We start from the raw sequence: 21,163 nt of genomic DNA, 5'->3' as shown, positions 1-21,163 counted from the left end.
ACAAGGTGACAGTATTTTTTATGAAGTTAAACATAAGCAAATCTTAAACCTATTACAGTTATTTTAAAAACCTACTGAAGCCGGGCGTGGTGGCTCACACCTGTAATCCCAGCACTTTGGGAGGCTGAGGCGGGTGGATCACAAGGTTAGGAGGTTGAGACCAGCCTGACCAACATGGTGAAACCCCGTCTCTACTAAAAAAAAAAATACGAAAATTAGCCAGGCACGGTGGCACGTGCCTGTAATCCCAGCTACTCAGGAGGCTGAGGCAGGAGAATTGCTTGAATCTGGGAGGCGGAGGTTGCAGTGAGCCGAGATTGTGCCACGGCACTCCAGCCTGGGTGACAGAGCAAGACTCTGTCTCAAAAAAAAAAAAAACCTATTGAAACCTATTTTTGAAAACCTAGTATGTATGTTTTTGAAGGCAAAAGAATGAGAAACACTATATTCAGACTAGTGGTTACCTCTGGGAAGGAAGTAGGAGGTTTTTATACATGTAGAGTGAACTCTATTGGAAATGTCTATGGTGAATTCACTTACTATTATGGTTCATAACATACCTACAGTTTGTAGGTGTATGTTCATGTGTGTGTATTTGTGCACCTTCATATGTATCAAATATTATATAACAATTTTATAATTTTTCTTCCAGGAAAAAGAAAAAAAGACCTAAGAAAAATGATGGTAAACTGAAAACAAAAGTAAATATTAAAGGATGTATTTCAATAAACTAAAAGGTGAAGCCAAAGAACAGTTATGGGATATAAGAAACCAGAAGCAAATAAATCAGTAAAATACCAGATGTCATTTGATTGATTTAAAAATTAATAACCAACTTTTTATGTTAAAAAGGGGAAAGTTGGCTGGGTACAGTGGCTTATGCCTGTAATCCCAGCACTTAGAGGCTGAGGTGGGCAGACTGCTTGAGCCCAGCATTTCGAGACCAGCCTGGCCAACATGGCGAAACTCTGTCTTTACATAAAATACAAAAATTAGCTGGGTGTGGAGGCATGCACCTGTAGTCCCAGCTACTTGAGGGGCTGAGGTGGGAGGATCACCTGAGCCCAGGAGGTCAAGGCTGAGTGAGCCATGATTGTGCCAGTGCATTCTAGCCTAGGTGACAGAGCAAGACCCTGTCTCAAAAAAAAAGGAGGTGGGTGGGCCATTAAAATTCCAGGCAACAAAAACAAGATGAGGAGGCTGTTTAATGGAGAGTTAAGGCATGCTAAAGTCCTTTTTATAATCAGGAAGACGCCGGGCACAGTGGCTCACACCTATAATCCCAGCACTTTGGGAGGCTGAGGCAGGTGGATCACAAGGTCAGGAGTTCAAGACCAGCCTGGCCAAGATGGTAAAACCCCATCTCTACTAAAAATACAAAAATTAGATGGGCATGGTGGCAGGCACCTGTAATCCCAGCTACTCAGGAGGCTGAGGCATGAGAATTGCTTGAACCCGGGAAGTGGAGGCTGCAGTGAGTGGAGATCGCACCATTGCATTCCAGCCTGGGTGACTAAGTGAGACTCTGTCTCCAAAAAAAAAAAAATTGGCCAGGTGCGTTGGCTCACACCTGTAATCCCAGCACTTTGGGAGGCCGAGGCGGGTGAATCACAAGGTCAGGAGGTCAAGACCAGCCTGGCCAACATGGTGAAAACCCATCTCTACTAAAAATACAAAAATTAGCTGGGCCTGGTGGCGGGCGCTACAGGCAGGAGAACTGCTTGAAGCTGGGAGGCAGAGGTTGCAGTGAGCCAAGATTGAGCCACTGCACTCCAGCCTGGGCGACAGAGTGAGACTGCGTCTCAACAACAACAACAAAAAATACTGCACTGGTAGAGCGGAAACAAAGCGGGGTGGGGAATAGAACTGGATTTGAATTCAAATTAACTCAAGGAATCTTTCAATCCCCACCACTGTTATTCACTGAGCAGAAACACAGCACTTGAGGACCCATGACTGAAGCATAGGCTACCTCAATCCGCAGACATCCTCATTAGCTATATTATTGTGTGGCACTGTTGAAAAGCAGCAAGAGTCCCACACCTGAAGCCAAAAACACAGGTGGAAGGGCCAGGCGCGGTGGCTCATGCCTGTAATCCCAGCACTTTGGGAGGCCGAGGCAGGCAGATCACCTGAGGTCAGGAGTTTGAGACCAGCCTGACCAACATGGAGAAATCTCATCTCTACTAAAAATACAAAATTAGCCAGGCGTGGTGGCGCATGCCTGTAATCCCAGCTACTCGGGAGGCTGAGGCAGGAGAATTGCTTGAACCCGAGAGGCGGAGGTTGTGGTGAGCCGAGATCATGCCATTGCACTCCAGCCTGGGCAACAAGAGCGAAACTCTGTCTCAAAAAAAAAAAAAAAAAAAAAAAATCCATGGGTGGAAGCCCTAGTCAGCACTGCATGGGTGGCAGAGCCCAGGCACTGCATGCACCTGGGCTCTGCACTTACTAGAATCTTAAATACATTACTTGACTTCTTTGTGCGTCAGTATCCCCATGGGTAATACAGACATAACAATAGTACCTTCCTCACAGGACTAATGTGAAGATTTAAAAATTTAATATGTGTAAAGTACTTAGAAAAGTTCTCAGAAACACTAAGACTCAATAAACTGTCGCTGTTATTATTACCAGCTTTCTAGTTGAATGCCTTTGGGCCCAAGTCCTTGAAATCCCTGAGTCTCTGCTTTCTTCTTTTTAAAACATAATATGCCTGTCTTCATAACATTTGCTGCATGGTTTGGAAGAAAATAAAAGGAAAAATGGCTGTGTAAATTGCTAGTGTTATACCAATAGTAGTTATAGAACTAAGTTCCACTGCATTTCAAAGAATCAAGAGCTCTTTTTTCTTGTATAGATTGATATTTGTTAACTCCCTGGGTTGTCAAGAACTTCGTACAGCAATTTTCTTTCACAATATTAGCCACTCTCGGTTCATCATAAGTAATTAAAGCCATTCTCTCCAGAAATCTAGCACATTAATCAGCTGGGTACAGCAGACGGATGTCCACCCATTAGAAATGACTAAACAATTTAGTTAACCTTTAGCAAAAATATGCATGCACACATGCTGACTAGCGCAGAGTTAAAAGATGTTAATGCTTCCTGTTGAAGCATTATGTGCAATGTTTATCCTTCTTTCTTTTTATTGTTCCTAATTATTTTTTAAATGCAGTAGACTCAAGACGGTTTTTTGATGAAGCGTTGTTTTCTGCAAGTTCATCTCAGGATATGAGAAGAAAGGAAACACTAATGCTTGCTGGTGAGAGAGGCCATCTGAAGGATTCCAAAAGCAAAATTAGATGATACAAATATAGCAAGGGAAAATGGATATTTTAAAGTCAATTTCCTAAAATAAACCCCCCTTAGCACTCAAAATCCACTCTCAAATCTGGCTCCAAATGATTTAAGAAGAGGTCAGTTACTTTGTGGATTAGTCAAATCTTCTGCTCCTTTTACTCACCAGCTCTTTTACTTTTGATGATTTTATTGATTGTGAACTCCCTGTGCCAAACAAACAGTAAAAAGAGGTAATGGGAAGACAAAAATCTACTAAATTAATCCATCTCTCTATTTTTGCACAGCTCTGATGAAAGTTTAGGAGGAGGAAGAAAGAACTAACAGCTAAAAAGAAGGCTTGAAATTATTTGTGAGTCAATATAAGCACAGTGAATAATGAAAAGAAAATCCCAGCATGCAAGCTTTTTGGAAATGCTGAGGAAGCCCATCATGTTAGTCTTTTTCGACATATGGAGACATAACTCACATGCCTAATTCATAAAACATCAGGTAGAAATGGTAACACTGCACAGTTTTGGTCTGAGAGGTACCTACCGGTGTTCCAACTAAAATCATGCAATAAATAAAAGGCTGTGAAGCCAAGCAGGGTGTGGAGCCCAGTCAGAGGGGAGCAGAGGTGATGGAGATACCCAGCCCATGGAGAAGCCACTCAGAAATAGGGATCTGTGCTCTACCCTAAGATGTTAAAAAGGAGCCCGCATACATGGGAACTTGACTTAAGATGAAGGCAGCCCTGCAGGGCATTTGGGAAAAGATGGTATTTTAAACAAATGGCTGACTTAATTTCCATAGTAATTTGGAAATAAAAGAAAAGTGGCCCTTTACCTCACAGCATAAATAAAAGTTAATTCTGGGTGGAATCTAGATCTACATGTGAAAGACAAAACAATAAAACTTCCAGAAAATAATGTAGGAGAATGTCTCCATAATTTGGTGATTAAAAAAAAAAAACAACTTCTTGATCAGAACACAAATGACATAAATCATAAATGAAAAGATGAATTTGACTAAATGAATATTAATATCTTCTATTCATAATAGCCACCATTATGAGAGCCAAAAGACAAAGCAGAGAGTGGGCAAAGATATTTGTAACTCACATAACCCTCAAAGGGCTCATTTCCAAAGTATACAAAGAACTCTTAGATGCCGACCGGGCGCTGTGGCTCACGCCTGTAATCCCAGCACTTTGGGATGCCAAGGCGGGCGGATCACGAGGTCAGGAGATCGAGACCATCCTGACTAACACGGTGAAAACCCGTCTCTACTAAAAATACAAAAAAATTAGCCGGGCGGGTGGCGGGCACCGTAGTCCCAGCTGCTAGGGAGGCTGAGGCAGAAGAATGGCATGAACCTGGGAGGCAGAGCTTGCAGTGAGCCGAGATCACGCCACTGCACTCCAGCCTGGGTGATAGAGCAAGACTCCGACTCAAAAAAAAAAAAAAAAGAACTCTTAGATGCCAAGAAGAAAAACATAATCCATTTAAAAATGGGTAAGAAACTTGAATAAGTCCTTCAAAAGGATATCCACCCTGATTTTATTATATGAATGTATCAAATTATCACATTTACCTTGAAAATATGTACATCTATTATCTGCCCATAAAAAATAAATAAATGTAAAAAAAGAGGATATCCAAATGTCTACTAAGCATAAGAAAAGGCTGTCAACTTCATTAGTCATTAGAAGGAAATGCAAATTAAAATTACGATAAGGCCAGACACAGTGGCTCATGACTATAACCCCAGCACTCTGAGAGGCCGAGGGAGTAGTAATGGTTGAGGCCAAGAGTTCAAGATCAGCCTAGGCAACATAGCAAGACCCCATCTTTCTACAAAAAATTTAAAAATTAGCCAGGCATGGTGGTGTGTGCCAGTAGTCCTAGCTACTCTGAAGGCTAAGGAGAGAGGATCACTTGAGGTTGAGGCTGCAGTGAGATATGATCACGCCCCTGCACTTCAGCCTGGGTCACAGAGAGAGACCCAATTTCATGCAATTTTAGTAGTAGTATAAAAACGTACAACTAGTTTCACGATCTGTTTGGTGATTCCTATTAAAACCGAATGCATGGGCAGGGTGTGGTGGCTCATGCCTGTAATCCCAGCACTTTGGGAGGCCAAAGCAGGTGGATCGCCTGAGGTCAGGAGTTCGAGACCAGACTGGCCAACATGGTGAAACCCCGTTTCTACTAAAAATACAATCATTAGCCAGGGGTGGTGGCGGGTGCCTGTAATCTCAGCTACTCAGGAGGCTGAGGCAGAAGAATCGCTTGAAACCAGGAGGCGGAGGTTGCAGTGAGCCGAGATTGTGCTATTGCACTCCAGCCTGGGCTATACGAGCAAAACTCAGTCTCAAAACAAACAAACAAACAAAAATGGTAGGGTGGATAAAGTATATTCATATAACAAAATAGTGATAGTAACATCTTTGAACCTTTCAAACATGATGTTGAGGGGAAAATAAACCGCCCAACTCAAAAACATATATGCAGTAATATTTCATTTATATAAAGTTATAAATTTGGCAAAACTAATCCAAGAGAAGGCATGACAATAGTTTCCGAGGTGCTGGCAATTAATCAAATGCTGCCTATGTGAAAGAATTTATAAATATTCATTGAGCTGAGCTTTATACGTATGATTTGTGTACTTTCCACATGTGTGTTATACTTTAATTTTAAAAAATTATTTGAAATATAAAGAAAAATAAATCCTTAATTTACTTAACCCAAAAAGGTCTGGTCCTAAAGCTTCAGCTTAAGGAAATGATCAAAAGCCTGAAAAATTTTAGGCACAATATGTCAGGCAGCATTATTTGTAATGGCAAATGAGGAGTGTTCAACGATAAGGAAATGTAAACTATGGCGGACCTAATTAGTAAAATATTACAAAATATTACCTAGCAATAAAAAGTATACTCATGGCCAGGTACAGTGGCTAACATCTGTAATCCTAGAACTTTGGGAGGCCCAGGCGGGTGGATCACCTGAGGTCATCAGGAGTTCGAGACCAGCCAGGCCAACATGGTGAAACTCCATCTCTACTAAAAATAGAAAAATTAGTCCAGCATGGTGGCAGGTGCCTGTAATCACAGCTACTCAGGAGGCTGAGGCAGGAAATTGCTACAACCTGGGAGGCGGAGGTTGCAGTGAGCCAAAATCACGCCATTGCACTGCAGACTGGGGAACAGAGCAAAAACTCCATCTCAAAAAAAAAAAGAAAAAGAGAAAGAAGTATACTCATGACCCAATGATCTATGCAAAAACACTCACAAAAGACAAAGAACAGGTGGGGGCACGGTGGCTCACGCCTGTAATCCCAGCACTTTGGTAGGCTGAGGCAGTGGATAACTTGAGTTCCAGACCAGCCTGGCCAATAAGTAAAACCTCGTCTCTAGTAAAAATACAAAAACTAGCCAGGCGTAGTGGTGGGCGCCGGTAATCCTGGCTACTTGGGAGGCTGAGGCAGGAGAATAACTTGAACCTGGAAGGTGGAGGTTGCAGTGAGCTGAGATCGCGCCATTGCACTCCAGCCTGGGCAACACAGCAAAACTCCATCCCCCCACACACAAAAAAAAGACAAGGAATGACTGAAAGTGAGCCAGTTGGAAATATGCCAAAATCATTCAGTACAGTATTCAAGTAACTGGGTTTTATGTAACTTTTTTTTTTTTTTTTTTTTTGCTTCTCTTAAAAAATTGTCTTCATGGCTGGACATGGTGGCTCACACCTATAATCCCAGCACTTTGGGAAGCCAAGGCGGGCGATCACCTGAGGTCGGGAGTTCAAGACCAGCCTGACCAACATGGAGAAACCCCATCTCTACTAAAAATACAAAATTAGCCGGGGGTGGTGGTGCATGCCTCTAATCCCAGCTACTCGGGAGGCTGAGACAGGAGAATTCCTTGAACCCAGGAGGCGGAGGTTGCAGTGAGCTGAGCTCGCACCATTGAACTCCAGCCTGGGCAACAAGAGTGAAACTCCATCTCAAAAAAAAATTTCATCATTTGTTAGACTAGAAAAAATAAGAAGTTATTATTATTACTTAATATTACAGAATGTTTTGATCTTTTTTTTTTCCACTACATCTGGGAGGGTGAGTCAGAAATTTCTCCTCTGTTTCACCAAGCACAGAATGCACCACACCACCACAAAACAGTTCTCTAAACAGTAAGTGTGAAATCACTTGGGCAACTTTTTTTTTACTTTTTCTGTTTTGAGACGGAGTCTCACTCTATCACCCAGGCTGGAGTGCAGTGGCATGATCTCAGCTCACTGCAACCTCTGCCTCCTGGGTTCAAGAGATTCTTCTGCCTCAGCCTCCAGAGTAGCTGGCACTACAGGCGTGTGCCATCACGCCCGGCTAATTTTTGTATTTTTAGTAGAGATGGGGTGTCATCATATTGGCCAGGCTGGTCTCGAACTCCTGACCTCGTGATCCGCCCGCCTCGGCCTCCCAAAGTGCTGGGATTACAGGCGTGAGCCACCGTTCCCGGCCTCACTTGGGCAACTATTAATTGACGTACCTGCATATACTTATGCCTCCAAAGCCCTCATCTTGTAAGAAATCTAATACTATTCTTTAAGTAGAAAAATGTAATATACTGATGACCTAGCTCAGGAATCCTACGGAATACAGTCTTAAGTTTCCTTGACTTTTGCCTCAGGGACTAATGAGAAGAAGGCCTCAGATTCTTTAATTGATGGCTCTGGAACTGACCAGTGATAAAGAAGATTGATCTTTCATTTGAAGGCATGCTTAGTGTTTGGGTTACAGTTATATGAAATAATTATGTAGAAGAAAACTGCACAAGCATAAGGCACTGTGCTACGCTTTGTGGGATTATAAAAGTATATGAGACCTATTCCTACCTTCAAGCAGCTTAGAGTCTTCACTATCAGACAGCACACAATATTATGTAAACCAAATACAAAGATGTCAATGAATACTTATGTTAATTAGAGCCATCCTTATTTTTCTCTAAGATCTAACACGATCACAGGGGTTCTAAGTCTGGAAACTATATTTCTCAGATTCCTTGGCCAGCAAGGTTCTAGGTTTAGGTTCTTTCAAAGGCACTTATACAAAACTGGAAGATGGCAGAATCCATTTGTCTTTGACTCTGGCAGCAATAGCAGCAGCAGATTTGTACAGAGTCTTGTAACACAAGCTCTAGGCGCTGGTCTCCTGTAGTGACTGAGTAGGCCGTGGTGGGGCGACGAAGACATACTCTGGCATTAGAAGTAATAGTTTCCTGCAGTTACTGGTCTAGGAAACACCGACACCTCCACCATTCATTTGCTGCTCTAGTCCTTTTAACAGTTACAACCTAATTCCCTGTATTGACTCCTACCCTGCTTGAAATATTAATAGATAAATAGGTTCAGTTTCTTCGAGTGACCCATGACTCAGTCAGGAAATGGCAGAATCTCTTCTTCTGGTCTCTTTTGGAAAAAGGCTAAATCCTAGTGTACAAAACATAGTCTTCTAACTCTACCACCAACTTTTTAAAGCTATTTTTTGACCATCATTATGAGCTTTCTCTCTTAATTGCCAAAAATATGGAGAATGATGATACAGGAAAATTAATGTTTTTATATCAAACATTTGACAAAGATTAATATTCTCTTGAATTAGATATGTTTATCCTTTAGAATAGTAATGACATATTAAGTAGAGGGATGCTCCTTGAGGACAATAATATAATCACTGGAGGCTTAGCCTGTTATTAATTAAGCTTATCAAAAGTATCATTATGTGTGTGCACGCAAATCTATACATACATATTGTATGCCTTCTTTTTCTTTTCTTTTTTTTTAAGACAAGGTCTCCCTCTTTCACCAAGGCTGCAATACAGTGGTGTAATCATGACCCACTGCATCTTCCCATCTTGGCCTCCAGAGTAGCTGGGACTGGGACTACAGGTGTGCACCACCACGCCAGGCTAAGTTTTGTATTTTTTTGTAGACACAGTATCTCACTATGTTGCCCAGGCTGGTCTCAAACTCCTGGACTCAAACAACCCTCCTGCTTTGGTCTCCCAAAGTGCTGGGATTACAGGCATCAGCCACCTTACCTGGCCTCATATGCCGTCTTAATTTTTTGTCTCCTTACCTAGATTCCCATCATAATTCCATATACATATAACCTAATTATATTACATGATAATTCAGACTACCTAAAGCCTCACAGGACTCATGTACAATGTAGAAGTGACTATAGTCCCCAGAATTTACATGCACGACTGCTTTAACGTGGAAAGGAACAGCGGCCACCTCCTATGTACAAAATCAATATGGATTAGGTCAGACTTCTGGTTCTGGGTGAAATGGCATAAAAACACTTCACTCATTTCTCCCACTGAACAGAAGCATACAACCTGAACAGATATAAAGCAACTACTGGAAAAAATTCTAGAAAGTGAATAGCATCAGGGAAATCATGGAAGACCACTGGAATCAAAGTTGCAATCAAACTACTAGTGGGTTTACCATTTATTTTCTCCTAGTAGCCTCAGGCCTGAACTTAATCAAGCTGGAAACCTAGAAATGAGCACTGCTGCAGTGAAGGAGAATGCTCCAGAAGCCCTCTAGTTATGGCTCATGGACAAACAAGAGGGCTCCTAACACTCATGGACGGTGTGAAATCCTTGACTTTGTTCTCTGTTGTTTCTGCTCTTTTGTGTCTGTCATTCATGAGGTTGCTTCCAGGCAATTCCAGGACAGTGAGGGCAATGACCAGTAAAGCGGTCAGCAAGAAGGAAAACTGAGGGAGGGGAACCTTTCTCTCCATTTAGTGGAGGTGTGATGAGGCCGACCTCTATTGCTTTTTTAACTCTCACCATCCTTCTCTTGCTTGGGCCCAGAGAAAGTCCCAAATAAGGAAGTTCACAGTAGCTCCTAAAAGACTGAAAGGGGGAGCCCTAAGGAGCTAAAAAGTTCCAAGGAGAATACAGAGGAGTAGTTCAGGAAAGTGACACCATAGAGTTGCTCATGAATTCCAGGGATCATCACCAACCCTTAAATGTTTGCATCAATTGTAATTAGCATACCAAAGGCTCAGAGAATGGAACTAACAGATAGACGCACTGCACAGGTCACAGACTGACCACAAGGTGGCACACTCACAGACTAGAACCGAAGAGTACTTCAAGGACTTTGAAAAGTAAACTGATACTCCCTTGAGTATCCAACCCCCTGAAGTTAGGTTGGAACTTGGAGCCTGAACCTAACCAGATCAATTGCCTGCTTAGAGAAAAAAAAAAAAAAAAATTTCCATGGGATTAAACACAACCCAGAGACTCATAACATAATCATCAAAATATCTAGGAGAGACTCCAAAATTACTCAACATACCAAGAACCATGAGAATTTCAACTCATACCAACAACCATGAAAATTTCAACTCACACAGAAAAAGATACACATATCAATGCAACATAATACAGATGCTGAAGTTATGTGAAAAAGACTTTAAGGCAGCTACTATATGATAGAGCACTTCTTTTATGTTTGAATGAGCAATCATAAACACTCTTGAAACAAATGTTAAAATAAAGTCTTAGCAATGAAATAGAAAATACAAAAAAGAAATGAATGGAAATCTTAGAACTGGAAATGAAAATCAAAATTTTAAATTCACTGGATGAACTCAAAAGCAGAGTGGAGATGACAGGGGAAAAGGTTATTGGACTTGAAGATAAATCAATAGACATTACCTACTCTGAATAACAGGAAGAAACAGGTTAAGAATTATATGAGCAGAACTTCAGAAATATATGACTGAATAACTGAAGGTCTAACATTCAGGTCCTTGAAGTCCCTAAAGGAGATGGGCAATAATGCGTGCTAGAATTATGTTTAAAGAAGTAAGAGGCCGGGTGCAGTAGCTCACACCTGCAATCCCAGCAGTCTGGGAAGCTGAGGCAGGTGAAGCACCTGAGGTCAGGAGTTCGAGACCAGTCTGGCCAATATGGTGAAACCCCATCTCTACTAAAAACACAAACATTAGCTGGGCATAGTGGCGCATGCCTGTAATCCCAGCTACTTCAGAGGCTGAGGCAGTAGAATCGCTTGAACCTGGGAGGCGGAGGTTGCAGTGAGCAGAGATCGCACCACTGCACTCCAGCCTGGGTGACAGAGCGAGACTCCATCTCAAAAAAAAAAAAAGAAAAACCCACAAAATTAGCTGGGTGTGGTGGCGCATGCCTGTAATCCCAGCTACTCGGGAGGCTGAGGCAGGAAAATTGCTTGAACCCGGGAGGCGGAGGTTGAAGTGGGTCGAGATTGCGCCACTGCACTCCAGCCTGGGTGACAGGGCAAAACTCTGTCTTAAAAAAAAAAAAAAAAAAAAAAAAGAAGTAGGAGTGGAAAATTTGCCAGGTATTGCGAAGATAAACCTACAGTTTCAAGAATCTATGCAAATCCTAAATAGCGTAAATTCAAACAAATTCATGCTAAGATAAACTGCTAAAAACTAAGGACATTCTGTTTTGGGTGATGAAAATATTCTAAAACCAGAGAATGCTGATAGTTACACAACATTGTGAATGTAATTAACACCACTGAATTACACATTGTAAAATGGTTAAAATGGTAAAATTACCACAATATTTTAAAAAACTCAAGACAGAAAATGATCTTCAAAGCAGAGTAGAATGACAGATACATTACATCAAAGTAACATTGATTAGAAAACAATGATTAGAATGATTATGGATCTTTAACATAAACTATCAAGACCAGAAGGAAGTAGCAAAAAACTTTTAAAGAACTGTCATCTTTTAAAGTAAATACTTGTCAATCTAAAATAATGAACTGTTGGCCAGGTGCGGTGGCTCACACCTGTAATCCCAGCACTCTGGGAGGCCGAAGTGGGCAGGAGATGGAGACCATCCTGGCTAACAAGGTGAAACTCCATCTCTACTAAAAATATTAAAAAATTAGCCGGGCGTGGTGGCAGGTGCCTGTAGTCCTAGCTACTCTGGAGGCTGAGGCAAGAGAATGGCCTGAACCCGGGAGACGGAGCTTGCAGTGAGCCAAGATCGCGCCACTGCACTCCAGCCTGGGAGAGAGAGCAAGATTCCGTCTCAAAATAATAATAATAATAATAATAATAATAATAAAATAAAGTAATGAACTGTCATCCTAGATTTTGTATCCAGTGAAAGCATCTATCAGGAATAATGATAAAATAAAGGCATTTGTGGATTAAGGGAAACTTTCACACTGTATAGTCAGCAAACTTGCTCTAAAAGAATTACTAAAGGAAGTTCTTCAGACAGAAGGAAAATGACAATAGAAGGAAACATGAGTAACAGGAACAAAGGAAGAGTGACAGAAATGATGAGTATCTGAATAAAATATATTACTCTTCAACTCTTTACATTGTGTTTGATAGTCAAAAGCAAAAAGTACCTAATGAGATTTTCAATGTATGCAGATGTTACACATAGACAATAAAGATGTAAAAGAGGGAGTGGAAAGGAACTTATAAGATGGTAAGTGTATTACATCCCCAAGAAAGTAATAAAATACTAACTATAAGTAGATGTTAAACAGTTAAATATGTATTTTGTAATCCATGGAGCAACCACTAAAAAAGCTATACAAAGAGATATCGTCAAAATCATAATAAATTAACAGGCCATACTAAAAATGCTCAAATATAAAAAAAAGTCAGAAGTAAAAAAAGAAAACAACAATAAAAAAGAGAAACAAGCCAGATGTGGTGGCTCACGTCTATAATCCCAATACTTTGGGAGGCCGCTTGAGCCCAGGAGCTTGAGACCAGCCAGGGCAAATAGGGAGACTCCATCTCTACAAAAGATTAAAAGTTAGCCAAGTATGGTGGTACACGCCTGTAGTTCCAGCTACTCGGGAGGTTGAGGTAGAAGGATTGCTTGAGCCCAGGAGGTCAAGGCTGCAGTAAGCCCTGATCATGCTACCGCACTGTCAGCCTGGGTGACAAGGCGACATGCTATCTCAAAAAAAAAAAAAAAAAAAAAAAGAGAAACAAACAAGAAATAATGAAATGGTAGATCTAAATCCAAATGTATCAATAATTACAATAAATGCACATGGTCTAAAACACAATTAAAAGTCAGAGATTGTCATATTGGACTAAAAACTATGACTCAATATAGTCTATTTATAAGAAATTGACTTCAAATATATTTATATAGGTAGGTTAAAAGTAAACTACAAAAAGTATAAGGCAAACAAAAATTAGAAATCTAGAAAAGCAAACGATATCAGAAAAAAGGCAAAAGACATGAACAGACATTTCACCAAAGAGGATACGCAGATGGCAAATAAGTACATGCAAAATTTTTTTTTTTTTTTTTTTTTTTTTGAGATGGAGTCAAGCACTGTTGCCCGGGCTGGAGTGCAATGGCATGATCTTGGCTCACTGCAACCTCTGCCTCCCAGGTTCAAGCAATTCTCCTGCCTCAGCCTCCCAAGTAGCTGGGATTACAGGTGCCTACCACCACGCCCAGCTAATTTTTTGTATTTTTAGTAGACACGGGGTTTCACTATGTTGGCCAGGCTGGTCTCGAACTCCTGACTTTGTGATCTGCCTGCCTCAGCCTCCCAAAGTGCTGGGATTACAGATGCGAGCCACCCGGCCAGCAAAAATGTTCAACATCATTAGCCATCAAAGAAATGCAAATTACACCACAATGAGATGTTACAACATACCTATCAGGATGGTTAACACATAAGAGTGACAAAACCTAATTCCGGTAAAAGTGCAGAAAAACTGTATTGCTTGTACACTGCTGGTGGAATATAAAATGATATAGCCACTCTGGAAAACATTTAGGAAGTTCCCTTTAAAGCTAAACATTGGGATACTACTCAGCAATAAAACTGATATACACAACAAGTTGGATCAATCACTATGGAATTATACTGAGTGAAAAAAGGCCAATCCCAACAAGTTACATGCTGTGTGACTCCATTTATATAACATTCTTGAAATGGCAAAATTACACAATTGAAGAACAGATTAGTGGTTGCTAGAGGGCAGGGACTGGAGGCAGGGGAATGACTGTGGTTATAAAAGGGCAACATGAGAAATGCCTGTGGTAATAGAATTGTGCTGTATTTTGACCTTGGTTTTAGATACACAAAACTACATGTGTGATAAAATCACATTTAAATACATACACACACACAGTGTATGTAAAACTGAGGAAATCTGAATAATATCCATGAGTTATATCAATGTTAATTTCCTGGTTGTGATATTATACTCTATTGTGTAAGATGTTACCATCAGGGGAAATTAGGTAAAAAGTTCACAGAATCTCGGCCGGCCATGATGGTTCACGCCTGTAATCCCTGCACTTTGGGAGGCCAAGGTGGGTGGGTCACCTGAGGTCAGGAGTTCAAGACCAGCCTGGCCAACATGGCGAAACTCCATCTCTACTAAAAATACAAAAAGATTAGCCAGGCATGGTGGTGGGCGCCTGTAATTCCAGCTACTCAGGAGGCTGTGGCAAGAGAATAGCTTGAACCAAGGAGGTGGAGGTTGCAGTGAGCTGAGATTCAAGCCACTGCACTCCAGCCTGGGCAACACAGCAGGACTCTGTCTCAAAATAAACAAAAAACAAAGAGATACAACATGATAATAAAATAACTGATTCACCAAGAAGATACAACAATTATATATGTATATGCACCTAACAACAGAGCTTAAAATACGTCAAATAAAACTGATTAAAAAAATTTTTTTAAGAATAGATAAATCTGACTGGGAGTGATGCTTCACATCTATACTCCCCGCACTTTGGGAGGCCAAAACAGGTGGATCACCTGAGGTCAGGAGTTTGAGACAAACCTGGCCAACATGGTGAATCCCCATCTCTACTAAAATACAAAAAAATTAGCCGAGCGTGGTGGCACGTGTCTGTAATCCCAGCTACTTGAGAGTCTGAGGCACAAGAATCACCTGAACCTGGGAGGCAGCGGTTGCAGTGAGCCGAGATCATACCACTGCACTCCAGCCAGGGTGACACAGTGAGACTCCGTCTCAAAAAAAAAAAGAAAAGAAAAGAATAGATAAATCTGCAGTTATAATTGTAGGCTTCAAGACTCTATTCTCAGTAAGAGATAGAACTAGTTGACAGAAGACCAACAAGGATAGCCAAGCACTGAATGTCATGTTAACCAATTGAATCTAGTTGAACATTCCACCCAACACCACCAGCAAAATACATATTCTTTTCCAGAGTAAATGGAACATACACCAAGAGAAATCATAGGTTGAGTCATTTGAGAAAAAAAAATAAACACCTCAACTAATTTTAAAAGATTGTGATCATACAATGCATGTTCTCAGGTTATAATTCAATTAAATTAGAAGTCAATAATAGGAAAGTCTCCAAATATTTAGAAATTGAAAATCAATAGGTAAACTTCTAAAGTAGTTTCATTTATATGTATTATATTTGAAACTGTGAAAATTATATGTAATTAAGTCCATTGTGTATTAAAAATCAGGAGAGAATTAAGTCTATGGAACTACTGAAGTCATTTGGAAATCAGAAGCTAGGCTGAGTTTGTGCCCGCTGTGGTGCTGCCAATATTGGTGTGGAGCATTAAGGAACCCTTTGAGCCATATTCTACAACTGTAATCTCATACTAAATAAATGACTATTCCTTAACTAGTTGCTTATAAGTCACTTAAAACTACAATTTTTAATAGGGTCCCTTTCCCCTGTTTTTCTGTTAATCATCTTGCAATTTGTTAATAACAATGATATGGTTTGGCTCTGTGTCCCCACCCAAATCTCATCTCAAACTGTAATCCCACCCACCCAATGTCGAGGGAGGGGCGTGGGGGGAGGTGATTGGATCACGGGGGTAGGGGGACAGTTTCCCCCACGCTGTTCTCGTGATAGTGAGTTCTCACAAAAGCTGATGGCTTTAAAGTGTGGCACTTCCTCATACACTCACACACTCTCTCTCACTCTCTCTATGTATATATATGTATACGTGTGTATACGTGTACATGTATATGTATACATATATAGGTGTGTTATAGATATATCTCTCTCCTGCTACCATGTAACTTGTATCTTGCTTCCCCTTCTCCTTCCGCCATGACTGCATTTCCTGAGGCCTCCCCAGCCATGCAGAACTGTGAGTCAATTAAATGTCTTCTCTTTATAAATTACCCAGTCTCAGGTAGTATCTTTACAGCAGTGTAAAAATGAACTAATACAAACAGCAATATTCATTTAAGAATTCAACGCTATAAAACCTAATTAACTCAATGCTGAGATTTGAAAAGCCTTGATCTAATCTAGTTTGTCTAGCTTCCTCCTACCCTTAGATAAGTTTAGACATTCTATGATTAAAAGGCTCTCCATTTCTGAGATATGAACAACTTTTAGACACTTGAGACATACAGGTGACTTTCTAATCTCAAGAAATATAAGAGTTGACTTAATAAGGGCATAGGTCAGGGTAGAGATATCCTTTTAAATGTGTCCAATGAAAGAGGGGTTGGTTATGGTTTATTTTAATGTTTTAAGTGTGTATTGTATCAGTGTTTCCAAATTTTCTAATTTAAAATTCCACTCTCATCTCCAACAGGTAGCAATGTAGTTATTTTAAAGGTAAAAGGAAAATATGCTAAAAACTAAATTGTGGGAGCATTATTGATATACATAAGGTATGCATTGTCACCATGATCTGCATTAAAAAAAAAAAAGAAGGGTGTAACACCCATAGCCTCTATCCTCAACTGACATTCATTCAACAAATATTGACTGTCTATCAGGTGCCAGACATTACACGGTCATTGCTCTTGAGAAATACCCAGTTCAGTGGGGAAGACAGCCATATAAACAACAATTACAATCTAATATGATATTTTATAACAAAGGGTCCACAGACAGAAGTATATTGACAAATGCTTCACAAAGAAGACTTTGAGCTAGGCTTCTGAGTGAGCAGGACAGTGTCCGGGAGGGAGTGTGACAAGAGGAGGAGCCAAGAGAAGGATGAATCCATTCATACGGAATCAAACAGCATGATTTCTTAACACTTGAACTAGGGCACCTTAAACAGAATGAGGAGAGGTAAAATGGGAGAAGGACTTAGAAAAGACAGTTTAGGAAGGGTCTTAAGATACCCTGGAGGATTTGAGGCAGGGGAAAGATGTAATCAGAAATTTCCTCAAAAATCCTGCCTAGGCTGGTCACAGTGGCTCATGCCTGTAATCTCAGCACCTTGGGAGGTCGAGGCAGGTGGATCACTTCAGGTCAGGGGTTCAAGACCAGCCTGGCCAACATGGTGAAACCCCATCTTTACTAAAAATACAAAAATTAGCCAGGCATGATGGCATGTGCCTGTAATCCCAGCTACTCGGGAAGCTGAGGCACAAGAACAGCTTGAATCTGGGAGGCAGATGTTGCAGTTAGCCGAAATCGCACCACTGCACTCCAGCCTGGGTGACAGAGCAAGATTCTGTCTCAAAAAAAAAAAAAAAAAAAAAAAAAATCTTGCCTATTGGCAGCATCCGTTGCAGTTCTCTAGCAAGTAATAAAAAGGGACTGAACTTTAAAACAATAGCCACAGAAATAGGAAGGGCAAATTCTAGGGATATTTAGATACAATAAAAAAGACTCTGTGATCCAATTAGCTGTGAGGAAGAGTCAAGGGTGGATCCCATCCTCCCACTTAGACAGCAGTTTAAAGGTAGAGAAGACAAGATTAAAAAGTTGAGTAAAAATAACAGATTCTCTCTGAACACATTCATGTTTAATGTGATATACCTCCTAGGCAGCTAGATGGAGACTTAAAGCAGTATTAAATTTTGGAAACAGCAACATGGATTTTAGGAGACCAAAGAGACTGAAGGTAAAGGTATAGGAATCAGTGATTTATAAGAGTTGTTGAAGTTCCTGGGGATAAAAGAAATCAAACATAGAAAACATATTCTTACCATTCTTGTCATCTTATAAGAAATGCTTCACTGGCAAGGAGCACTGATTGGAAATTGACTTAAAGTTTAACTATGCATAGCTTCCCTTATTTCAGAAAGTTTGTCCACAACTGTTCTAAAGCGATCATCATGAAAGCCATGCAATGGCTCTCATGCAATGCTCTGCCATCAACGTTTAACTTCACTTCTGGAAGGGAGGATGAGAAACAGGCCTGCCTCCTGCCCGCTCCGGCCTGAAAAGGATTCCAACAACTGATGAAACAGAGCCCAAAGATAGCAGGCTCTTCTCAGGTGAAGTTCTCATCAAAACCACATGCAATTCTCTCCTGTTTCCTACTCACATCCTCTTCCTTCCCCTATGTTTTTCTGTGAATATATCTGCATGCCACAAATAGGCTACCAAGTCTTCTTAGAGTGGGTGGTGCAAAGGTAAAATACAGTACATTAGTTAAAAAGTAAATATGGCAAGGACAAATTCTATTGCTTTTTGATATCTGTGAGAAGGCAACAGAAGAGTTAGAACTAACAAAGACGGCAGGAATTACAAGATCCAAGCAAATAGTTTCCTTGCTTTGGATTAGAGTTGGACACCCAAGTGTGTAAAACTCCTGGCAGGAGGATTGAGGTGAAGAGCGGGAAAGTACAGGAGGATTCCGCCAAATTTTAGCTGCTCAGCAGACAAAATAAGGTATGACAGGCACCTAGCCAGGGCTCTAGAAAAATATTTGACCACTGCCAGAATCCAGAAAAACCAATGCTACCAAGCATCTAAAATGAAAAGTACGAGGCCGGGCGCGGTGGCTCATGCCTGTAATTCCAGCACTTTGGGAGGCCGAGGCGGGTGCATCACCTGAGGTCAGGAGTTCGAGACCAGCCTGGCCAACATGGCGAAACCCTGTCTCTGCTAAAAATACAAAAATTAGCCAGGCATGGTGGCAAGTGCTTCTAATTCCAGCTACTCAAGAGGCTGAGGCAGGGAGAATTGCTTGAACTCAGGAGATGGAGGTTGCAGTGACCTGAGATCACACCACTGCACTCCAGCCTGGGCAACAGAGTAAGGCTCTTTCTCAAAAAAAAAAAAAAGTAAAGTACCGAGTCAGACAGACCACTTGAGGTCAGGAGTTCAAGACCAGCCTGGCCAACATGGGGAAATCCCATCTCTACTAAAAGTACAACAATTACCCAGGCGTGGTGGTGGGCACCTGTAATCCCAGCTACTTGGGAGTCTGAGGCAGGAGAATCACTTGAACCCAGGAGGCAGAGGTTGCAGTGAGCTAAGATCGCACCACTGCACTCCAGCCTGGGCAACAGAGCAAGACTCCATCTCAATCAATCAATCAATAAAATGAAAAGTAGTAGCCCTCTTAGCAGAAACCTCTCATAGCAGAGGGTTGTAAAAGATACTGAGGAGCCAGGAAATGGGGGAAAAAAGCAGAGTCTGAGAGCCCCAAATAGCTGAGGCTGACCTGAGCAATTTGACTTCATTTCTGCATTAAGCAAAGAGCTCCCGCACTATACCACTGGCGTGTCAGGACTGATGTGCACGGATGGAAAATGACACCTGGAGAGTTGCTCACTTCACCTAACATACAATTCTAAATAAAATGTTTCACTCTTCTGTGAGGTCTTTGATTATCACTAGCGAAATCTCTACAAATACAGAAACATGAACTGCTGCTGTCTGGTTAGGCCTGTCTTTCAGGGGTTGAAAAGTTGCTCTGGAAGCCGGGGGTTTCCTGACTTGCCCTAAAGGTTTCTCAGACTGCTCTATAATAATGATGATTGAAAAGCATATTATGTCAACAGATACTTCTTTGGAAGGAGGAAAACAGGAGGACAATACCTCACTCATCAGAAAGAGCCAGACATACCTATAGGGTATGCAAAGCAAGCCAAAACTCCTTTGTGTGGTTTTGGGGGGGGCGGATTTTTTGAGACAGGGTCTTGCTCTGTGGCCCACGCTGGACTGCAGTGGCATAATCACGGCTCACAGCAGGCTCAAGAGATCCTTCCACCTCAGCCTCCTAGTAGCTGAGACTATAGGTATGTGCCACCACATCTGGCTATTTTTATTATTTTTTATTTTTGTAGAGGCAGGGTTTGACCATATTGCCCAGGCTGGTCTCAAACTCCTGGGCTCAAGCAATTTTCCAGAGGTGGCCTCCCAAAGTGCTAGGATTACAGGCATGAGCCACTGTGCACCCATCCTATATTATGTTTTGAAAAGGAAAAATAATTAAGTGTACATCTACTGAGAAAAGAAAAAAAAAATGTGCCAGCAACACCCAAGATGATGTCATATCAGCAGCTAGTTTCAGGTCAAATACAGTACAACAGGAAGCTTGGGACTGAAGACAAGCAGGACCCAGCCCACTGGACCCGCCCCTAAACCAATCGCCAGACTTGCTCCCAACCTACAGAAAGAACACTTTCCACTATGGATAGTGAGATAGTAATTTGTATATCCAATTCTGCTATTTCAAAAGCTAGGCTGTGTATATACACGGAAATATCTGGTCTGTCAAGTATTCTATAGCTGAGAGGGTCCCACAGCACTTTCAAAATAAAAAAAGTTAAATTCTTTTTAGCCACTCCATTTCTATCACTGCAGTCTCCAACCGTGCCAGGCTGTGAAAATTAAGGCCAGTAATGACTTCACTCTGCTAGAACATTGACTTGTAATCAAGGCAAGGATAATCAACTGCAAACAGAAGAAATCCATTAGAATCTAACATTGAAAAATTGGGGAATTGGGAGTGTTTGCTTTTAATGCTTACTCTTAGCCAAACCAATTAACACTTAGGTCTATCCACAAAGCTCTTGTGTAAGTTGTTGGGTGGAGGGAGGAAAATCACCATCACCATCATCACTATCACCATTCATCATCACCACCACCACCACA

At 41.2% G+C, this 21,163-nt stretch overlaps 1 long non-coding RNA gene across 1 annotated transcript in view, besides 1 other annotated feature; it reads right to left on the bottom strand.

Annotated features, from left to right (window-relative positions):
• Nucleotides 1–21,163, bottom strand: part of CASC15 (cancer susceptibility 15) — a 529,408-nt gene that overhangs the window by 249,643 nt on the left and 258,602 nt on the right. The gene's annotated exons all lie outside the window — the stretch shown is intronic.
• Nucleotides 20,224–20,333: an enhancer, noted in NCBI's record as "active region_24146". NCBI's record gives its function as "activates an Ori minimal core promoter by ATAC-STARR-seq in GM12878 lymphoblastoid cells {active_cell/tissue: GM12878}" and the evidence as "EXISTENCE:reporter gene assay evidence [ECO:0000049][PMID:35858748]".

Source organism: Homo sapiens, chromosome 6, assembly GCF_000001405.40.
Source record: "Homo sapiens chromosome 6, GRCh38.p14 Primary Assembly".
In the NCBI taxonomy this organism is placed as follows: Eukaryota; Metazoa; Chordata; class Mammalia; order Primates; family Hominidae; genus Homo; species Homo sapiens.
Note: the sequence above shows the minus strand (reverse complement) of the source record. Positions and strands in the feature narration are given on the sequence as shown.